Source organism: Homo sapiens, chromosome 3, assembly GCF_000001405.40.
Source record: "Homo sapiens chromosome 3, GRCh38.p14 Primary Assembly".
Classification (NCBI taxonomy): domain Eukaryota; kingdom Metazoa; phylum Chordata; class Mammalia; order Primates; family Hominidae; genus Homo; species Homo sapiens.
In genome coordinates this window covers 38,740,530-38,757,529 of record NC_000003.12, presented here as the reverse complement: position 1 = coordinate 38,757,529, position 17,000 = coordinate 38,740,530, and the positions used below count along the sequence as shown (strand labels likewise).

At 43.1% G+C, this 17,000-nt stretch overlaps 1 protein-coding gene across 6 annotated transcripts in view; it reads left to right on the top strand.

Annotated features, from left to right (window-relative positions):
• The window catches only part of SCN10A (sodium voltage-gated channel alpha subunit 10), a 119,411-nt gene that overhangs the window by 58,688 nt on the left and 43,723 nt on the right, over positions 1-17,000 (top strand). For 4 of the 6 annotated variants that reach the window (NM_006514.4, XM_011533993.3, XM_005265371.4 and 1 more), the window contains 6 exon segments: positions 371-512; positions 659-856; positions 1,572-1,742; positions 5,018-5,311; positions 7,346-7,457; positions 15,001-15,239. In NM_006514.4, coding sequence (NP_006505.4) covers positions 371-512; positions 659-856; positions 1,572-1,742; positions 5,018-5,311; positions 7,346-7,457; positions 15,001-15,239 — 1,156 coding nt within the window. 6 annotated transcript variants of the gene reach the window in all.

The window sequence follows — 17,000 nt, the reverse complement described above, 5'->3', positions numbered from 1 at the left end:
CTCCCTTGATAGACAACTCTGCAGATGATGCCAACAGGCTCAGGTTTTAAGTCTGCGTTATTGCTACTGACTCTCATTTCCCTGGTATGAACTGGCAAAGAGCTTATAGTATCGTGTCTGGGCAGTCAGCTGCCTTCCCCAGGCCACTCCCCTGTGTATGAAATTCTGACGTGAAAGTATTAGCGTCCCCGTTTTATGGATAACAGAAACCAATACCTAAACAGACCAAGTGTCCAAGATCATCCTGCTAATAAGAGGAAGACTAGGTCTTGAACTCTGATCTCTGACATAAAACTCTGTGGTTGTCTCGCAGCCCTGGGCTACCTTGTCTGCAATAAGCAGGGGATGACCTTCTCTGTTCTTGCTGCAGCCACTGCCCTGATGGTTATATCTGCCTTAAAACTTCTGACAACCCGGATTTTAACTACACCAGCTTTGATTCCTTTGCTTGGGCTTTCCTCTCACTGTTCCGCCTCATGACACAGGATTCCTGGGAACGCCTCTACCAGCAGGTACTGAGCTGCATTCCCCCACGCAGACTTGGTTGGAGGCTGGTGGGTCAGCTGCATGGCTGTGCTTTTCCTGGAGGAGGCTGACTTAAATTCAGGGGTCCATGTGCTATGGGTACAGGTTTCTCTTCTTTCCCTTGAACCTGCAGACCCTGAGGACTTCTGGGAAAATCTATATGATCTTTTTTGTGCTCGTAATCTTCCTGGGATCTTTCTACCTGGTCAACTTGATCTTGGCTGTAGTCACCATGGCGTATGAGGAGCAGAACCAGGCAACCACTGATGAAATTGAAGCAAAGGAGAAGAAGTTCCAGGAGGCCCTCGAGATGCTCCGGAAGGAGCAGGAGGTTTGTGAGGAGTGGAAGCTTTGTGAAGAAGGTTGCAGACTGTCCATTCTTGGATACTGTTCTGGACTAGCCACTTCAATTAGGGCACCGTTTAGGGAGCTATAGGAGGAATCATCTTGCCTCAGGGACCATATTAGATCAGGTTTTCTCAAAGAAGAAGCTAAGTGAGGATTCTTGTGCAAGTGACCTATTGAGGGAGTGCTCTCAGGAGAAAGCGAATGAAGCAAAACAGAATGGGGCAGAGGGTGGAACTAAACAAGGAGTGTTCTCAGCTAGAGACCAGCTTCAGCTTGATCCCATGGGGAACTCTGGGGCATGACCTGTACCACAGTTAGTCCTACCTTGAGGCAAGGGGGCCAGCTTTTTTTTTTTACCCTCCCCATACCTATCCCAGAAGCAGGCAGCCAAAAGAGACTTTTTTTGTAGAATGCTGCAAGTATGAGCCATCAGCTGCTGCCATGCAAGCAGCTCGGGATAGCTGTGCTGACCTGGTGAAAGGGATCTGGGTGGGGCACCAACAGAGTACCCCATGAATGAGTGGGGGTGACCCGAGGTGTCTGTTCCTGCCATGGCCTAATCCCACCACCACCCTGGTCCTAACCCTTCAGCTTCTCTGTTTCAGATCTCTCACCCCTGGCACCCCATGTCTGGGGGACACATTCATGCTAAGTCCAAGCAAATACTATTGGCTACACCTGCTGTTCTCTCTTCGCAGGTGCTAGCAGCACTAGGGATTGACACAACCTCTCTCCACTCCCACAATGGATCACCTTTAACCTCCAAAAATGCCAGTGAGAGAAGGCATAGAATAAAGCCAAGAGTGTCAGAGGGCTCCACAGAAGACAACAAATCACCCCGCTCTGATCCTTACAACCAGCGCAGGATGGTAAGAGGCTCAGGTTTGTGCTCTAAAGATTACCCACCATTGCAGCTGCCGTAGACAATGAGTTGGAGTGGGAAGAGGTGTGTGGCAGAGAAAGAGCTGGAGGCATAGAGCCTAAAAGGATCCAGACACCCCTCCAAAATGGTGTCTTAAACTAGGAAAGTGTAATTATAGATGGGGAAAAGGGGTGAATTATAAGGACACCTTAGGGAAGTGGATCAACAAGATTGGGATTGTGGACTGTGGAAAAAGGAAAGGGGAGTCCAATTTGACTCCCAGGTTTCAGGATTGGGCAATCAAATGGGTGGTGATTCCAAGATGAGGACACTGGAGGAAGAACCCCGGTTTGTAGGAAAGGTGGGAAGCCCATACTGAACATGCCAATCTTAAGGTGTCTGCGGACATCAAAGGTCAGCTTCCTTCTGAGGCTCTGGTCTGCAGTTCTAGAGTGCAAGGTTCCCTGTCCGTGGTGCTGAGATCCTTCATGCACCTTTTTTTTTTCTGATGCGTCGAGGTGGTTTTTATTTTTTTACTTAGTTTTTTTTAATTGACACTTCACAATTTTATATAATTATTGGGTATAATTTCTGACCTCCTTCCTAAGGTCCTGCAATTCAAGCTGTCACCTGTTGTTATCAGAAAAGTTTCCAGCACCCATCTCTGTGACACAATCCAGCCTGGGAATGGCTTCAGCACCTCACCTCAGACCCTGTAGCAATTCTTTTCCCCCCATAATAACTTTCTGCCTCCCACTCTAAAATTTGCACTGCAACTTTCCTCGCCACGCTTCCTCCCACCACCTTCCTGCCCCTTGAAAGTCCTTTTACCCCAAATATGCCCTTTCTATAGGTCTGACAGATAATATCTGCTGTGTGGGAGGGTGGCTCCACACTAACAGTGTGGAAAAGGGGATCAACATGGCTATTTTTTTATGCTTTATACCTCTCACTTCCCTCTCAATCTCTTTTCCTGTGCTAAGCCGAAGGATATTTTACTTTTTTGCAATACCATCTCTCCAACCCTCAGATTTATGTGTGCATATACAAACACAGACACACTTGCATGCACACTGACCTCATGACACATCCACACTTCAGCATTTATCTGCATCTGTGCCCTCCTCTTTCTTGCTTTGCCCCTTTTGAGCAGCACCTGGCATACATGGGGCACAGTTCAGACAATCACAGAACAGGATGAATCACAGCTTCCATGGAAATGTCAATGACACTGAATTGGGCTTTAATTTCCCCCATTCTGTCAGCCCCACACAGATTAGCACTTGGATGTCCAATAATTGGTATGTGTGCTTGTCTCTCCAGTGATGCTTACTTTCAAAGGGAAAAAAGAGGAGCTGTAACTTGTTCATTCAACAATACTAGGTGCTTGGTATAAAGAGATGACTAGAACATGTTCTTTTCCCTAAGGATTTCCATTTGGGTGGAGGAGGCAGATATAAACACAGCTATGTGTTAAATAGTGTATTAGAGACACATACATGGTGTTTTGAGAATCAGGGAAGAAACATCCACTCTTATGGGGCTGGATAGGTATCAGAAAAGGCTTCCTGGAGGAAGGCATAATTGGGATCAACAATAAATAGCATGTAGGGGTTCTTCTAGTAATTGAAGACTTGAGAGAGTTTGGGGAGGAGTATTTTCCTGGCAGAAAGAACAACATGTATGTGCAAAGACAGGGAGGCACCATTTAAGTACTTCTTTAATGCTAATTGATTTATTGGAGCCCACTCAGGAAGGCATCCTCTCCCTCTTTTCCCAGGTACATTCATGTGGTAAATAGACCTAATGCAGTTTTTATCTAAAGCCATTTTATAACCAATAGAAATTAAATAGAGGAATATATAGAAGAGACCCAGGAGGGTTTTTGTGGAAAATCACAGACCAGTTGGTCTCGTTAGAGGATGAATTTTAAAGCAATTCTAATGCTTATACTCAGAAGACATTGCCCACCATTTGTCAAAACCTTAATTCTAAAATAACTCGTGGCCAAGGAGACACTGCTGTCAAATATGCAACCAAAATTTTCTTCTCAGTTTCTTCATTGGTTTGCTTGGTGCTCAAGTGCAAATAATGTAGTATTCCCTTCCTTAATATGGATGTGTCAATTTTTCTCATTTGCTTCAAAAATTGGAAGGATTTTTGCATTTTATGAGTTCTATAGTCCTTGGGCATGTATTACAGGCAGAGAGTACTCTATTTATAATACTGAGCTTTTAATAATGGTTGCTAAACAGGATCAGGCTTCAAATTATCAAGAGAGGAAACTTCAGTTCTGTGAGATAAGGGGATTAGTAAGGAGAACCCCAATTGGCAAGATTCTCCACTTTAGTAGCTTAGTAATAAAAAGGAGTTAAGGAAGGTGAGTGGAATAAATCGGTATGATCAGAGTTTGGTATGAAGTCAATGTTTAGATTTTGTACATACTATAGACCACCTGAGGACACAAATGATGGTTTATTATGGTCAAGTTTCACTATGGTCATGGGAACTACCTAACCCAGCACACTAATTCTCTGAGGGCTCTGGGTTTATGAATTAGCTCTTTTCTCTGGCAACTTTAAGCCACACAGTTCCCTCAATGGAAGATTTTGATGGGAAATGTTTATTGATTTGGAGGAATGACATTATTCTTCCAGGAAATTAGGCTGCAACCCTTCCTTCAGTCTCTCCATTGTTGACTGTTCAAGCCTCGAGGGATCCTAGAAACTCATTGCACTGTACAGCTCTTGTCTCCTCCTTTGCAACACAAACTCTCACATTCATACAGATGGGATCTAATGAATTGTACTACCTAATTTTCAGACAATGAAGTGCACTTATTCATTCAACAACCACTTACCAAGTATGTTCCAGTACTGGTGTGCATAGTAGCCTCCTTAGGTCACAACTTTGCATGTGGAAAAGTGAACTTAGGACAGCTTTGTCTAGCCCTGTGGCCAAAGGTTGGCAATCAACTGAACTATCCAGGTGACAAGGTTTCCTCTGACATGTTCCTGACCATGATAACCTATTTGCTGAGCATCAGCACGCTGTAATCTCTCCTCTCTCCTGGTCTTTCCCGGAGTCTATCTAGAGTCTCCTTTTTTCTTTTTCCCCACCATGCATACCTAGAATACCCCTTAGATTTGTGCCTTTACTTAGTGACTGAAAGGTCATAAAGACAGGGGCAGGGAAATGGGAGTAGGTAGAGGGAAGTGTTGGGCTCTAGATTTCCCAGAGGACCAGTTTCCAGCCTTCTTGCTCCTTTGGGGCAATGCCCAGTCTTTTCTAGGCCTCGCCTCTGGAAAACGCCGGGCTAGTCATGGCAGTGTGTTCCATTTCCGGTCCCCTGGCCGAGATATCTCACTCCCTGAGGGAGTCACAGATGATGGAGTCTTTCCTGGAGACCACGAAAGCCATCGGGGCTCTCTGCTGCTGGGTGGGGGTGCTGGCCAGCAAGGCCCCCTCCCTAGAAGCCCTCTTCCTCAACCCAGCAACCCTGACTCCAGGCATGGAGAAGATGAACACCAACCGCCGCCCACTAGTGAGCTTGCCCCTGGAGCTGTCGATGTCTCGGTGAGTTTGTGAATGCTTCAGACTCCCTCAGGCTGTCTTCCACCTAGAAGCCTTGAGCCAAGAAGCCTGAGTATCACCAATGGAAGGGATCTTTAGCCATCATCCTGTCCAATGCCTCCCCATTCTACTCCTTTTTTACAGACATAGAAGATGAGACCCAGAGAGAGAGAGAGATTGAGTTGGCCTGAGGTCAAACAGGTTTCCTGGTTTATTCTGCAGTAGTGATGCAAATTATATTCCATTTGACCCCATATTTCTTATCAGTGCTTCTCTGTCCCCACTCAACATCACTGCCTCAGTGATAGGCCTGCTTTCTTGTTGGACAGGTATGAGAAAAACTGAAGGACCCTTCTCTTCCTGCTTATGGCTCTATGCAAACTCTTCTAGGCTGGGCAAATGGCACCCAGAGAAATTCAGGAAGTTTCTTAGGACAGATCTGAATAGAAGCACAGTATTCCTTGCTTTACTCACAGAAGAAATAATTTGCCAAAATGAGCAAATTAGGCAACAGTGACTAACTGGCCAGCACTCTTTAATAGAATAATCGCAGAGTGTAATGGCAAGTCAGGGATTCCTCATTGGATTGGGAGCTGTGAGTTAATGTGAGCTCTCCCCTCCAGTTTCAGCAATGATGTTTCTAGTGTTTTTCATTTGCCCTCTCTGGCTAGCCAGGGATACAGCGCAATTGCAGACAGAATTGTAAAGAGACCAATAAATGGTTCCACTGATACAGATAAGTCTTAGAGTTGCCTTAGCTCAGTCTCTGACTCAATGTCATGTGATTCAGGGTCCCAGCAAGAAACAGATGGACCACTCCGATGGGCTAATAGAGAGAGTTTAGTAAAGTATTTACAGAGGTGTGGGCTGGGCTTAGGGAATGAATAAGGGACAGTGAGGCACCTAGAAACTAGTAACAGGGGGAAGCTGTTACATGCCTAGGCTGAAGGGATGAAGGAAAGGACCAGAATTAGACTACAGCAGCAGCTGCCCTCATGTGTCAGAGAGGCTGCCTGGCAGAACTTGTGATCTTAGTAGAGGATCACAGCTCTGCTACTCAGCCATAGCACAGGAGAGAAGAAGCCAGGGGAAAATACCTGACTTGTCTCTCCTTCTATCCTTGAATGTCCTGCCTATGTCTCCCATTAACCAAACCTGGCCAGAACCAGAGGGTAAGGATAACACATTTTGTACAGGTCTCCCTCCCCAGGAACAGAGACAGTGGAGAAGGTAGAGAGTAGGTCTCCAGGGCAAATGGAATCACCAAAACAGAGCCTTAAAGTCAAAGGCATCCTGCAGGGCTCGCTGGGAGTGCATTAGCACTCTAGAAAATGCCTCACTGAAGGCATTTATGCCTCTCTTGTGATGGGCCCCCACCCTCCTTTCTCTGTTCCTGAGATTATCATGTGTCTAGATATTCTGACCTTGATTCATTCTAGTTAAATTACCAGGCTAGTGAAAGATTGACTCTTTAGGCCCTTCTGTTTAGTATGGACCTATATTTTAGTCCCAACTGTGCCAGTTACCACCTGAGTCACATTTAGCAAGTCCTTTAAATTATCCAAGCCTCCTTATCTCCCCTTGTAAAAAGGTTTCTAAATAGCTGGAGGGTTAAATGAAATAACAAAGTGCCTACATTTTTATACATGTCTGACAGATAACAATAAATAGTGACTACTAGTATCATTTGCTTAGTCCTCATGGTTGGAAGCTTTATAAACTTTCTTTATGTTTATTAACTGTTTATACTTACAGTATTCAGCAATAACATGCTGTACAGATTTGTAGCCTAGGAGCAATAGGCCACACTATTTAGCCTAGATGTATAGAAGGCTATAGCATTTGTTTGTGTAAATACAATGTAGGATATTCACAGAATGATGAAATCACCTAATGATGTATTTGTCAGAACATATCTCTATCTGTAAGTGACATATGACTATATATGAGATTGGCCAATAAGAGGCTGAATGATCCAACTTTGCCATGAAGATGTCAGGTTAAAGGAGCGTCCTGACTCTGTTTGTGTCTCAACAGGCATTCGATGCAGGACAAAAGAAGACTTTCTTGTCAGCAGAATACTTAGATGAACCTTTCCGGGCCCAAAGGGCAATGAGTGTTGTCAGTATCATAACCTCCGTCCTTGAGGGTAAGTGCTGCTCACTGCATTGTTCATCCACTGTGTCATGATGAATTCCCATGTGAGCAGCAGAAGCAATGTCTCTAACTCGTGTCAAAGCGTCCATCTCTGTGTACTGGAATTCCTAATACTCCTCATTCTTATGTCTTAGGCCCCACCATCTTTTATCAATGTGGTTTTTTAGATGCATAATTTTTCAAAAACAAAATAATTTGATGAATAAAATATCCTAGCTCATCTCTTGTTCAAATTAGCATCTGCTTTGCATGCATCACAAAACTAGATTTTTAAAAGTGATCTGGCAGGCATCAGAGAATTTCAGGCCAGCTCTCCGGTGTACAAGAAATTTAACCATCCTTAATTTTCCAACATGGCAAAATTATCCTTTTCATGGTTTCATAATTATATTTTTCATGGTTGTAACTTACACAGTTGTAATTTAATTTCTTGTTCAAGCCCACATTATGCTGAATATTGGTAGACAATTTAAGTCCATTAATCAGTCAATTTAACTAAGTCCTTGTTAATTTAGAATTCTACCAATCAAGTGGGAATCCACTCAGTCTCCCCAGCAATGTATCTAAGTTCCAAGCCAAAGGGTAGAGGAAGAGAGTGGCAATGGTCATGGCCACCTATCCACACACTTTGCCATAGAGCGTGATTGCATCCCTCTAACCTTGAGCAGGAGGTCTGTTCTAATCCAGCCTTTTTTTGCCTTAGGGTATGGAGAATGCAACCTTCATCATTTCCAGTTATCTTACTCCCCTAGACAAATTAAACTGACCTAGGCTGGAGGAGTTGTAAGGGAGCTTGAGTGCTGGTGTGCCCCTGAGAAGGAGTCCTGTGTGTTTTCCTCCCAGCCCTAGGCTGAATCCTAATTTGAGGGGAAGAAGTGGTGAGCAATAGAAACCAAAAAAATGTTTGAGGGATTTCAAAACAGAGCCAATGTGTGCCCTACTTTCTAGGTAAAGCCAGAGGTGGCAAGCCTTAGAGAGAGATTCACATGCACAGAAACTGTAGAGTAGAACTAGCCAGTAATTTACCAGATATGCAGAGATGTATCTGTTTTGCTCACAGCTGGATCTCCATTACCTAGAAGAGCAGTGCATTAACAAAGGTGATATCTGGGGGGTGATGCTACTTTATAGTGGTGTAAACTGATAAAAAGGAAGAAAATAAGGAATAGTCAGGTATCTTGGGGTAGGATAGACTTCCGCTCAAGGAAGATACTGTGAGAGTAGAGTAAGAAAGGCAGGAGAAACAAAGACGTTTTTAAGAAAATCTGGGGAAAGGCAACCTTAGCTTAGGTCAACCTTAGGTTAGAGAAGGCCTGAAGCAGCCTCAGAGAGAGCCCTGTGGCTCCAGAATGGCAGAGAGGAGCTGGGTGATGACTTAGCCCCCAGTGAAGGCTATGGAAAAAGATGAGTGAGACCCATAGAGGGAAACTAGAGAGAGAAGAGCCATCTTCATGGACTCTCCCACCAGGGACCAGATGGGAGCTACAACTCAGGCAAAATACGCTTAGCAATGACAAAGGACCAGCTCAACTCTCCTCCAGGTTTGAGCCCTACAAAACTCAGACACAGACTCAGATATTGAAATAGTACCCAACATTGACTTAACAAGAGACAGTTCCCATGGTGAGGACTTGAAGCATAAATTGAATTCAACTAAGTTACATTTCTTGCATACCTGAGTTTGTGCTTTGAGAAATGTGTACTCATTTCTCAACAACAACGTGTACAGACTCTCTTCTATTATTTTTTCTCATTGATAATTATTTAATATCACTGTTCATTGTAATAGAGTCTGTACTTCTAACATTTTTCATGGCATAGAATTTGACCAAGCTGCTATTCCCACAATTTCTTTCTTGGCCAGATAGGTTTCTTGGTTTTTGTTTGTTTGTTTTGGTTTTTGTTTTGCTATTAGTCATCAAACAGCAAACATTGAATACAAACAGTTTGTTTTTTTCATTTATTCTCGAAAACTGTTAAGCTTCCTCCTTCTCTCTTCTTTCATTTATTCTCTTATCAACAAGCATTTGTTGAGCCCCTGTTGTGTGTGTGGCATTGCTTCAGGTGCTGGGATTCAGTGGTGAACTGATATAAGCTTGCGCTCATGGAATCTACATCCTAGCAGGGAAGGGGACATGAAAGATGAATAGATATTCAGATATAAGAAGTAGGAGAAAAAATAAAGTAGGAAAGGAGATGGAAAATTCTCTCCAAGAAGAACAGAAATTTGAATTAAATAAAGGAATCAGCTATGTAAGAAGCTGAGGAGAAAGTTCGCAGACACAAATAGCAAGTACAATGCATTCTGCAAGAATGAGATAGCAACAAGCAAAATGCATGTCCCAAACACATCCCAGTGTAGGTAAGACAAAAGAAGGTCATGGGATGAATGAGAGGCAACAGAGGGTAGTAGTTAGAACACTGCTCTGGAACCCGGCTGCCTGGGTTTGCATCCTAGCTCTTCCACTTATGGTACACAGTGTGACCTTGGAGCTTCAGTAACTTTTCTGTGCCTCAGATTTTTAGCCTGTAAAGTAGTGAGAATATACTTATCTTGTAGAGTTTTGTGAGGATTAAATGAGTCAGGTCAAGCAAAATGCTTAGAACCACGACTGGCATGTAGTAAATACTCATCACATTTGGCTATTATGATTTACTAGGTTGTAAAATCTATGAGGGCGGAGATGTGTCTGTTTTGCTCACAGCCTGACCTCCATTACCCAGAAGACAAGTGCATGCACAAAGGTGATATTTGGGTGGTTGGCGGCGGGAGTGATGCTAATTTATAACAGTGTGAACTGATAAAAAGGAAGAAAATAAGTAATAGGCAAATATGTTGGGGTAGGGTAGACTTCCCCTCAAGGAAGATGCTGTGACAGTAGAGTAAGAAAGGCCAGAGAAACAATGATGTTTTAAAGAAAATCTGAGGAGAGGAAACCTTAGGTTAAATAAAAGAGGTCAAAGTTTTCTGAGCATAGGGCACATCATCTTCTCTGGTTGGATGTTATATTCATTACACACATGAGACACCTGAAGGATGCTTCATGCTGCCAGAGTCGTAATAGGATTTATAAAGGCCACCTCTTTAAGAGGGATTATGCTTAAGAAAGTTTGGCCCAAACCAACAGGAGTTTGACAATTCACTGAACTCAAAGCATGTGAACCTTCTATGCTTGGCATGCAAGCTGAGATTTCACTGTTGTCCAAGCCAGAATTCCAGAAGCTGGGTCACAGCAGTGAGCTTACTGGAGTGGTGAGTGCCTTAAAGAGGAAGTGCAGGATACTAAGTGAAATATGGTAAGATTTGCCTGGAGCCAGGGAATTATCCCAGGCTGAAAGGACTGCAAAGCAGAAGAGAGAATAACATTTGAAGGAATGAAAAAGCCTAATGTAGCTGTAACCTAGAGAACCAGGAGAACTGAAAATAAGGCTAGAGGGATGAGTTGGGGCCAGATCCCAAGAAACTCCTAGACTGCATTAAGGATATGGGACTTCATGCTAAGAGGAGTGAGGTGCCATTAAAGGATTGGAGGCAGGGAAGTTACATTTGCATTTTATAAAAGTTACTCTGGATACTTGTAGATATAAGAGGGGAAGTATGTTGTCAGGGAAACCAGTTAGGAGGAAGCCAAGTACAAGATGGCAGTGCTTGAACTCTGGGGTAGTGACAGTGGGGCTGATGGGAAATGGAAGGATATGAGAGCTATCTAAGGGGCATAAGATTCAGGACTTGATGATGCATATGGTTCTGGTATAAGTGCCTTAAGATATGCTGATACAATAACTCATAAAGGGAGCATTTTAGGGGAAGAAGGGGGCTTTAATGGGGAAAGATGAAAGAAGATTATGAGTTGAGTCTGGGATATATTGGGTTTCAGGTGCCCTTGGAGCATCTAGGTAGGGGTGTCCAGTAGGAAGTTGACTTTAGGATATAGGGGTCTAGAACTTAGATGACAAAGATGGCATATATATATATATATATATATATATATATATATATACACATACACACACATATATATATGTATATATATATATTTGAAAGCAGTTTGAATGTAAGTGGTAATTTTGAAAAGATGCAACTGGATGAGTTAACACAGAAGGGTTGAAGTAAGAAGAGAAGAAGGCCTCAGACACAGTTCTAACAAACTAAATGTTTAATAGTTAAGCAGAAGAGATGGACCCAGCAGAGGAGACTGAAAAGGAAGGTACAGAAATAGGAAAAGATCTAGAAGAATACAATGCAGAGCCAAGAGTAAAAATTTCTTCAGAAAGAATAGAAAGGCCAACAGAGGCAATGCTGTGGAAAGGTCAGGTAAAATGAAACATGAAAAGGTCCAGGGGCTTTAGTCACATGGATGTCTTTGGTGATCTAAGCAAAAGAGGATTAATGGAGTAAAAGGGTAGGCAGAGGTCATATTGAAGGGGCTTAAAGAGCGGGTGAGAGGTGAAGAAATGGAGATATGGTGTACAGACAATTTTTTCAAGAAGTTTGCCTGTGAGGAAAAGGAGATAGTAAGATGGCACTAGGGAGTAGGGAGAATTGAAAGAAGACTTTTTGGTTTTTGTGTTTGGGGGAGTTTTTGTTTGTTTGTTTGTTTTGAGCATATTTGCATGCTAATGGGAAGGATCTGGGAGAATAAGAGAGACTGAAGATTAAGGGAAGAAAGGGTATATTCAACAGACTCCTGCAGTGGCAGGAGAGAATGCACAGTGGAGACACTGGTGTTAACAGGAGCAGGGGGACCTCTTTAAGCGTAACAGGATGAAGGGAGGAAAGTTCTCTCTGTTATCAATTTTATATAGGAGATCCTTTTGAGGTGGGGCCATGGTCATGTTTTAAGCTGGCAAGTAGATACTTTTAGTCTCTGTGTCTCTGCAATCAATCAAGTTCAACAATGTCAAGGCTGTTTACAAAGATGCCTCTCTTTTCCCATCATGCCTCACAGGTGGCTGCTTCCTGCCAAAATGGCACATCTAAAGTGTCCTCATTCATGACTACTTCCTGTGCTTCTTTTTAGTGCCAAAATAGGTCCAGGGAAGTTCTTGCTTTTGTTCCAAACAGGGATTGTTGATTTTGGTCCCAGGATGTGCCAACTTCTTTAGAGAACTATGCTTTGCCAGTTTGGACATCTGTAGTTTCTAAAATCCAGTCAGTGATTAAAACAGCATGACAGTGAAAATAAATAGTCTGATCTGTGGAAGAGAAATGGACATGTGTATATGAAAACACATGAACATAAATGGTAATAACATGACAAAAATGACATTTCAAATCTTGGGAAAATGAAAAATTATTCAATAAGTAATGTTGATATAAATAATCAGAGACAGGAAAAAATAAACCACATCAATATCTTACTCTTTACCCAAAATAAATTTCAAATGCACCAAAGTTTTAAGTGAAAAAAGTGAAACTACAAAAGAAAGAAAAAAACATGGAGAAGGTATTTTCCAAGCCTTGTAGTGAGAAAAGCTTCATATGTAAGGCATGTATGCATATGTGGCTAACCTGCATAATGTGCACATTTACCCTAAAACTTAAAGTATAATTTAAAAAAAGAAAAAAATTTAAAATAAAAAAATGAAGAAAATTGAAAAAAAAAGAAAACAAATAAAAATACTACTGATAAATCTTGACTACATACACATTTTTAAATTATCAGGAAAAAACACTGTTAGCAAAATTTGGGGGCACACAGTTATTTCTCTAAACTGATTTTTCAAGTGCATATAGTAAAAAAAACCCTAAACACTGCAAGTGTGTATGCAATGACAACTATGTCTCCTTCCCACTATAGACCCTTCCTGCTCCCCAGACTCCTGGTGCACCCCCCTCCCACTCCAGTTTATCTTATATTCTTCAAGCAATGTTCTATGCATATATAAGCACATGCATGCACATACACACACTACACATACATATTTTTCTACATCACCACAAATAAATCTGCCTCATTCTTTTTCACAATGTATTATGCTTTATCAGTTGTTGTTTTCCATTATTATTATAAACAATGGACATCATCTTTCTTTGCCCACATAGGCTGATATCTGTTCAAGATGCATGTCTTGCCGAGGAATTTATAGATAAACCTAAAGCTAAGAAATTGCCCTCCATCGAGGTGAACACAGTTACACATCCACATGGAGATTTAACGGAGGCAGGTAGAGAGATAAGCCTAGTGTTCAGGAAGGGATCAGAAATTGGACACATAATTTGGTGGGAATTGGCATAGAGATGGTTTTTTAGGGCTATGAGATTCAAAAACACAGAGAAGCTAAGGTGAGAATGCTTGAGTTATTCAACATTTACAAGCAGGAAAGGAAAAGGGAGACAAAAACAGAAAGTGAAAAGAAGTGGAGAAATATGGGAGAAAAAGCAAGAGATGATGCAGTCCCCAGAGCCAAATGAACACTGGTTTCAAAGAGAACAATATAAATTCTGTCAAATGTTATAAGGGTAAGATGAGAACTGGAAATCAATTATTTGAATTTGGAAGCAGTTAAAGTCAGATTCCAGGGGCTGCAGAGAAAAAAAGAGGTAAGGAGCTGTAGAAGGTTAAGTGTAGAAAACTCTTGCAAGGAATTTTACTGTCAAAGAAGCAGTAATGAAAGAGAGCATGGGGTCCAGAGAGACTTTTTCAAAGCCGCGAGATAATTAAAGCATGTTTACCTGCTCATGGCAATGGTCTGGAAGGGAGACAGGTCTGGATGATGCAGGCCTTGAATAGGTGGGAGAGGAAAGAGCCCGGCACAAGTGGGAGGGGTAGAGCCACCCACGCACTGTGTGGGGCACGAAGACAGAATACCAGGTGGACTTGCAGATATGCCAGAGATTTAGTGGTAGGAAGAAGGGGAAGTTCTTTTGTGAACTAGTCTATATTCTGAGTGAAATAAAAGGGAGCTCATCAACAGAGAGTAAGTAGAAAGAAGAGCCGGAGGTTAGACGGGGGAAGAGGAAGTGAGAAACAGTCATCTGGAAGAATGAAGGAATGGAATATAATATAGAAACACAGCCAGATTTCTGGGCAGGGCAAGGCTGGGGCTCACAGATCTCTAGGAGGGTTGGTAAGCATAGTTGTGTATTTTTTCCAGCCAGGTCCAGCTGGTTGGGTGCAAGTACAGAGTAGTCTACAAATTGGGTCTATTCACAGTTCAGGTTTTGCCAGGCAAGTACAATGAAGGAGGAGAGGGGCAAAGGAATTGAGGGTGCCTACAAGGGAGTAGTTAGAGAGATGGATGTGAAATCTAAGCTGGGCAAATTGAGAAGTAAGGACATGATATAGGTGATGGGCAGTAAAAATATGTAATGTCAGCAGTTTAAAGGACTGGATGGGGCAGATATTAATTGGAGTTGCAGGACTAAAGGAGTTCAAAATATAGGAAATGAATACCAGAGACAGAGAGAGGGCTGAAGTCAAAATGTTGGAGGTGGTACTTATTATTAACAACAAGGTCTAGAGGATGACCGCAGAATTGGGGTCCAAGGTGACACATGGCTGACAGCTGTCATTGACCACACTATAATGCAGAACTCGAGGAGTCTGAACAGAAGTGCCCACCCTGCTTGACCAGCTTGTCTCAGAAGTATCTGATCTGGGATTGCTGCCCCATGTGGGTGAAGCTCAAGACAATTCTCTTTGGGCTTGTGACGGATCCCTTTGCAGAGCTCACCATCACCTTGTGCATCGTGGTGAACACCATCTTCATGGCCATGGAGCACCATGGCATGAGCCCTACCTTCGAAGCCATGCTCCAGATAGGCAACATCGTGAGTGCTCTGGCTGGTACTGCCCTCACTGGCGTGGTCGGGGCGGGGTGGGGATGATGGCAGGGTGCAGTTCGGGTGGGGTGGGGCATGCCCTTATTGGTTAGTGTGTTGAGCCAGTTAGCTGAGAGCAGAGCAGCAGTGCAGGAGACATGTGGACACTGGGTTCAGGAGGTCAAGTGTGGGAGGACCCAGGCTGAGCTGGTGGGAATGGCTTTGGGATGAACAAGCACAGGAAAGTGAACCAGGAGAGCCTGGAGCCAGAGGCAGCTAGTTGCCCTTTACAAAACATAGGACAACCACTTGAATTTTCTGGATCTCAGTTGCCTCTACCTTGAAATGAGGATAAATGTCACTTTTTTATCTAAAGACAATCTTTGGACTTGTCTGTTTCCTTCCAATGTAATTACTTTTATGACCACAATTAACAGTAGCCACGATTTTCAATGTTGTCACTTAAGGAGAAAAAGAGTTGGGGAGGGAAGGGGAAGACAGTGGAAGGGAGGAAACATGGAAACAAGGTTGCTGTTGTAACAAAAGCATCAGGAAGTCGGAACTTTTCTTTGGCATCTAGTTTAGACATCATGCTGCTTTAAATTTTCCTCCATCACTTGTTAGTATTATTTACTCTTAACAAGATACAATCCATACTGGATTTCACTATATACTGGATAAAGTATCTGACTCAGAGGGACAACAACTGCTCCAACCTTGCCCCACCCACAGGAATAGTAATAATACTCAGATGCTTCTCATGGATTATCTCATTTTATTTTCACAACAACCCTACATGGTAGGCACTCTTGTTATTCCCTTTCCCAGATGGAAAAATGGAGATGCAAAAGGTTAAATAATCTTCCCAAGATCATAGAGTTGAGTTTAGTGGCCACATCAGAATTTGAACCCAGACAGACCGGCTGCCAAGCCCGCTTTTCTTAACCCCTGAATTAAGCCACCTCACAAGACTTGCGTGTGTGTGTGTGTGTGTGTGTGTGTGTGTGTGTTCAAACACACGCACACATGATAGGCAGAAGCTAGAAAGGGTCAGCATCCTGCCTTCATGTCCGCAGCAGGGTCCACCAAGCTGGAGGTGACCTACTGGATTCACCAGAACTGTCTGGCTTTGGGGTCCAGCTTCTTATAGGCTGCAGACTTAGGTGGAGGGGGAAGGCCCAGAGGAAATGTGACTACTTGTCCCTAGAAACCACTCCCTCCGCCATAATCCAGGGCTGTGAAAGGGGCAGCAGTAGGTTCTGGAACATGGTGGAATCAGCATGCCTCATGTTTTGGCAGCACCTAGGCTGAGGTCACATCCTAAAGTTGATATGAAAAGGAAAAATGGAAAGAGAAGAGAATGCTTATTCCCAAGAAGTCAGCCTAAGACCACAGAGGGCCTTATGGAATAGACATTTGAGCCCACACCCTCATTCTACAGTTAGAAAAGTGGAAGCAAGAGAGAGAAAAGGCCTTTCCCACAGTGTCAGAGGAAAGTGCCACTTTTTTAAAGCAAGAAAGTCATGTGCTTGGTGCCTGCAATGAGTCAGGTGCTTTATGAATGTTATTTCAGTGTCACAACAACATTATGAGGTTAACATCACCCTCACATGACAAAAGAGAGCACTAAGACTCAGAGAGGTTAAATATCCTGCCCAAAATTGTATAGCTGGTGAGGGTGGATCCAGGGTGGACCCAGGTCTCTGGAAGACACAAGACCTCAACCCTACCCCCCACCACACCACACTGACTTGCCTACAAGGGACACTC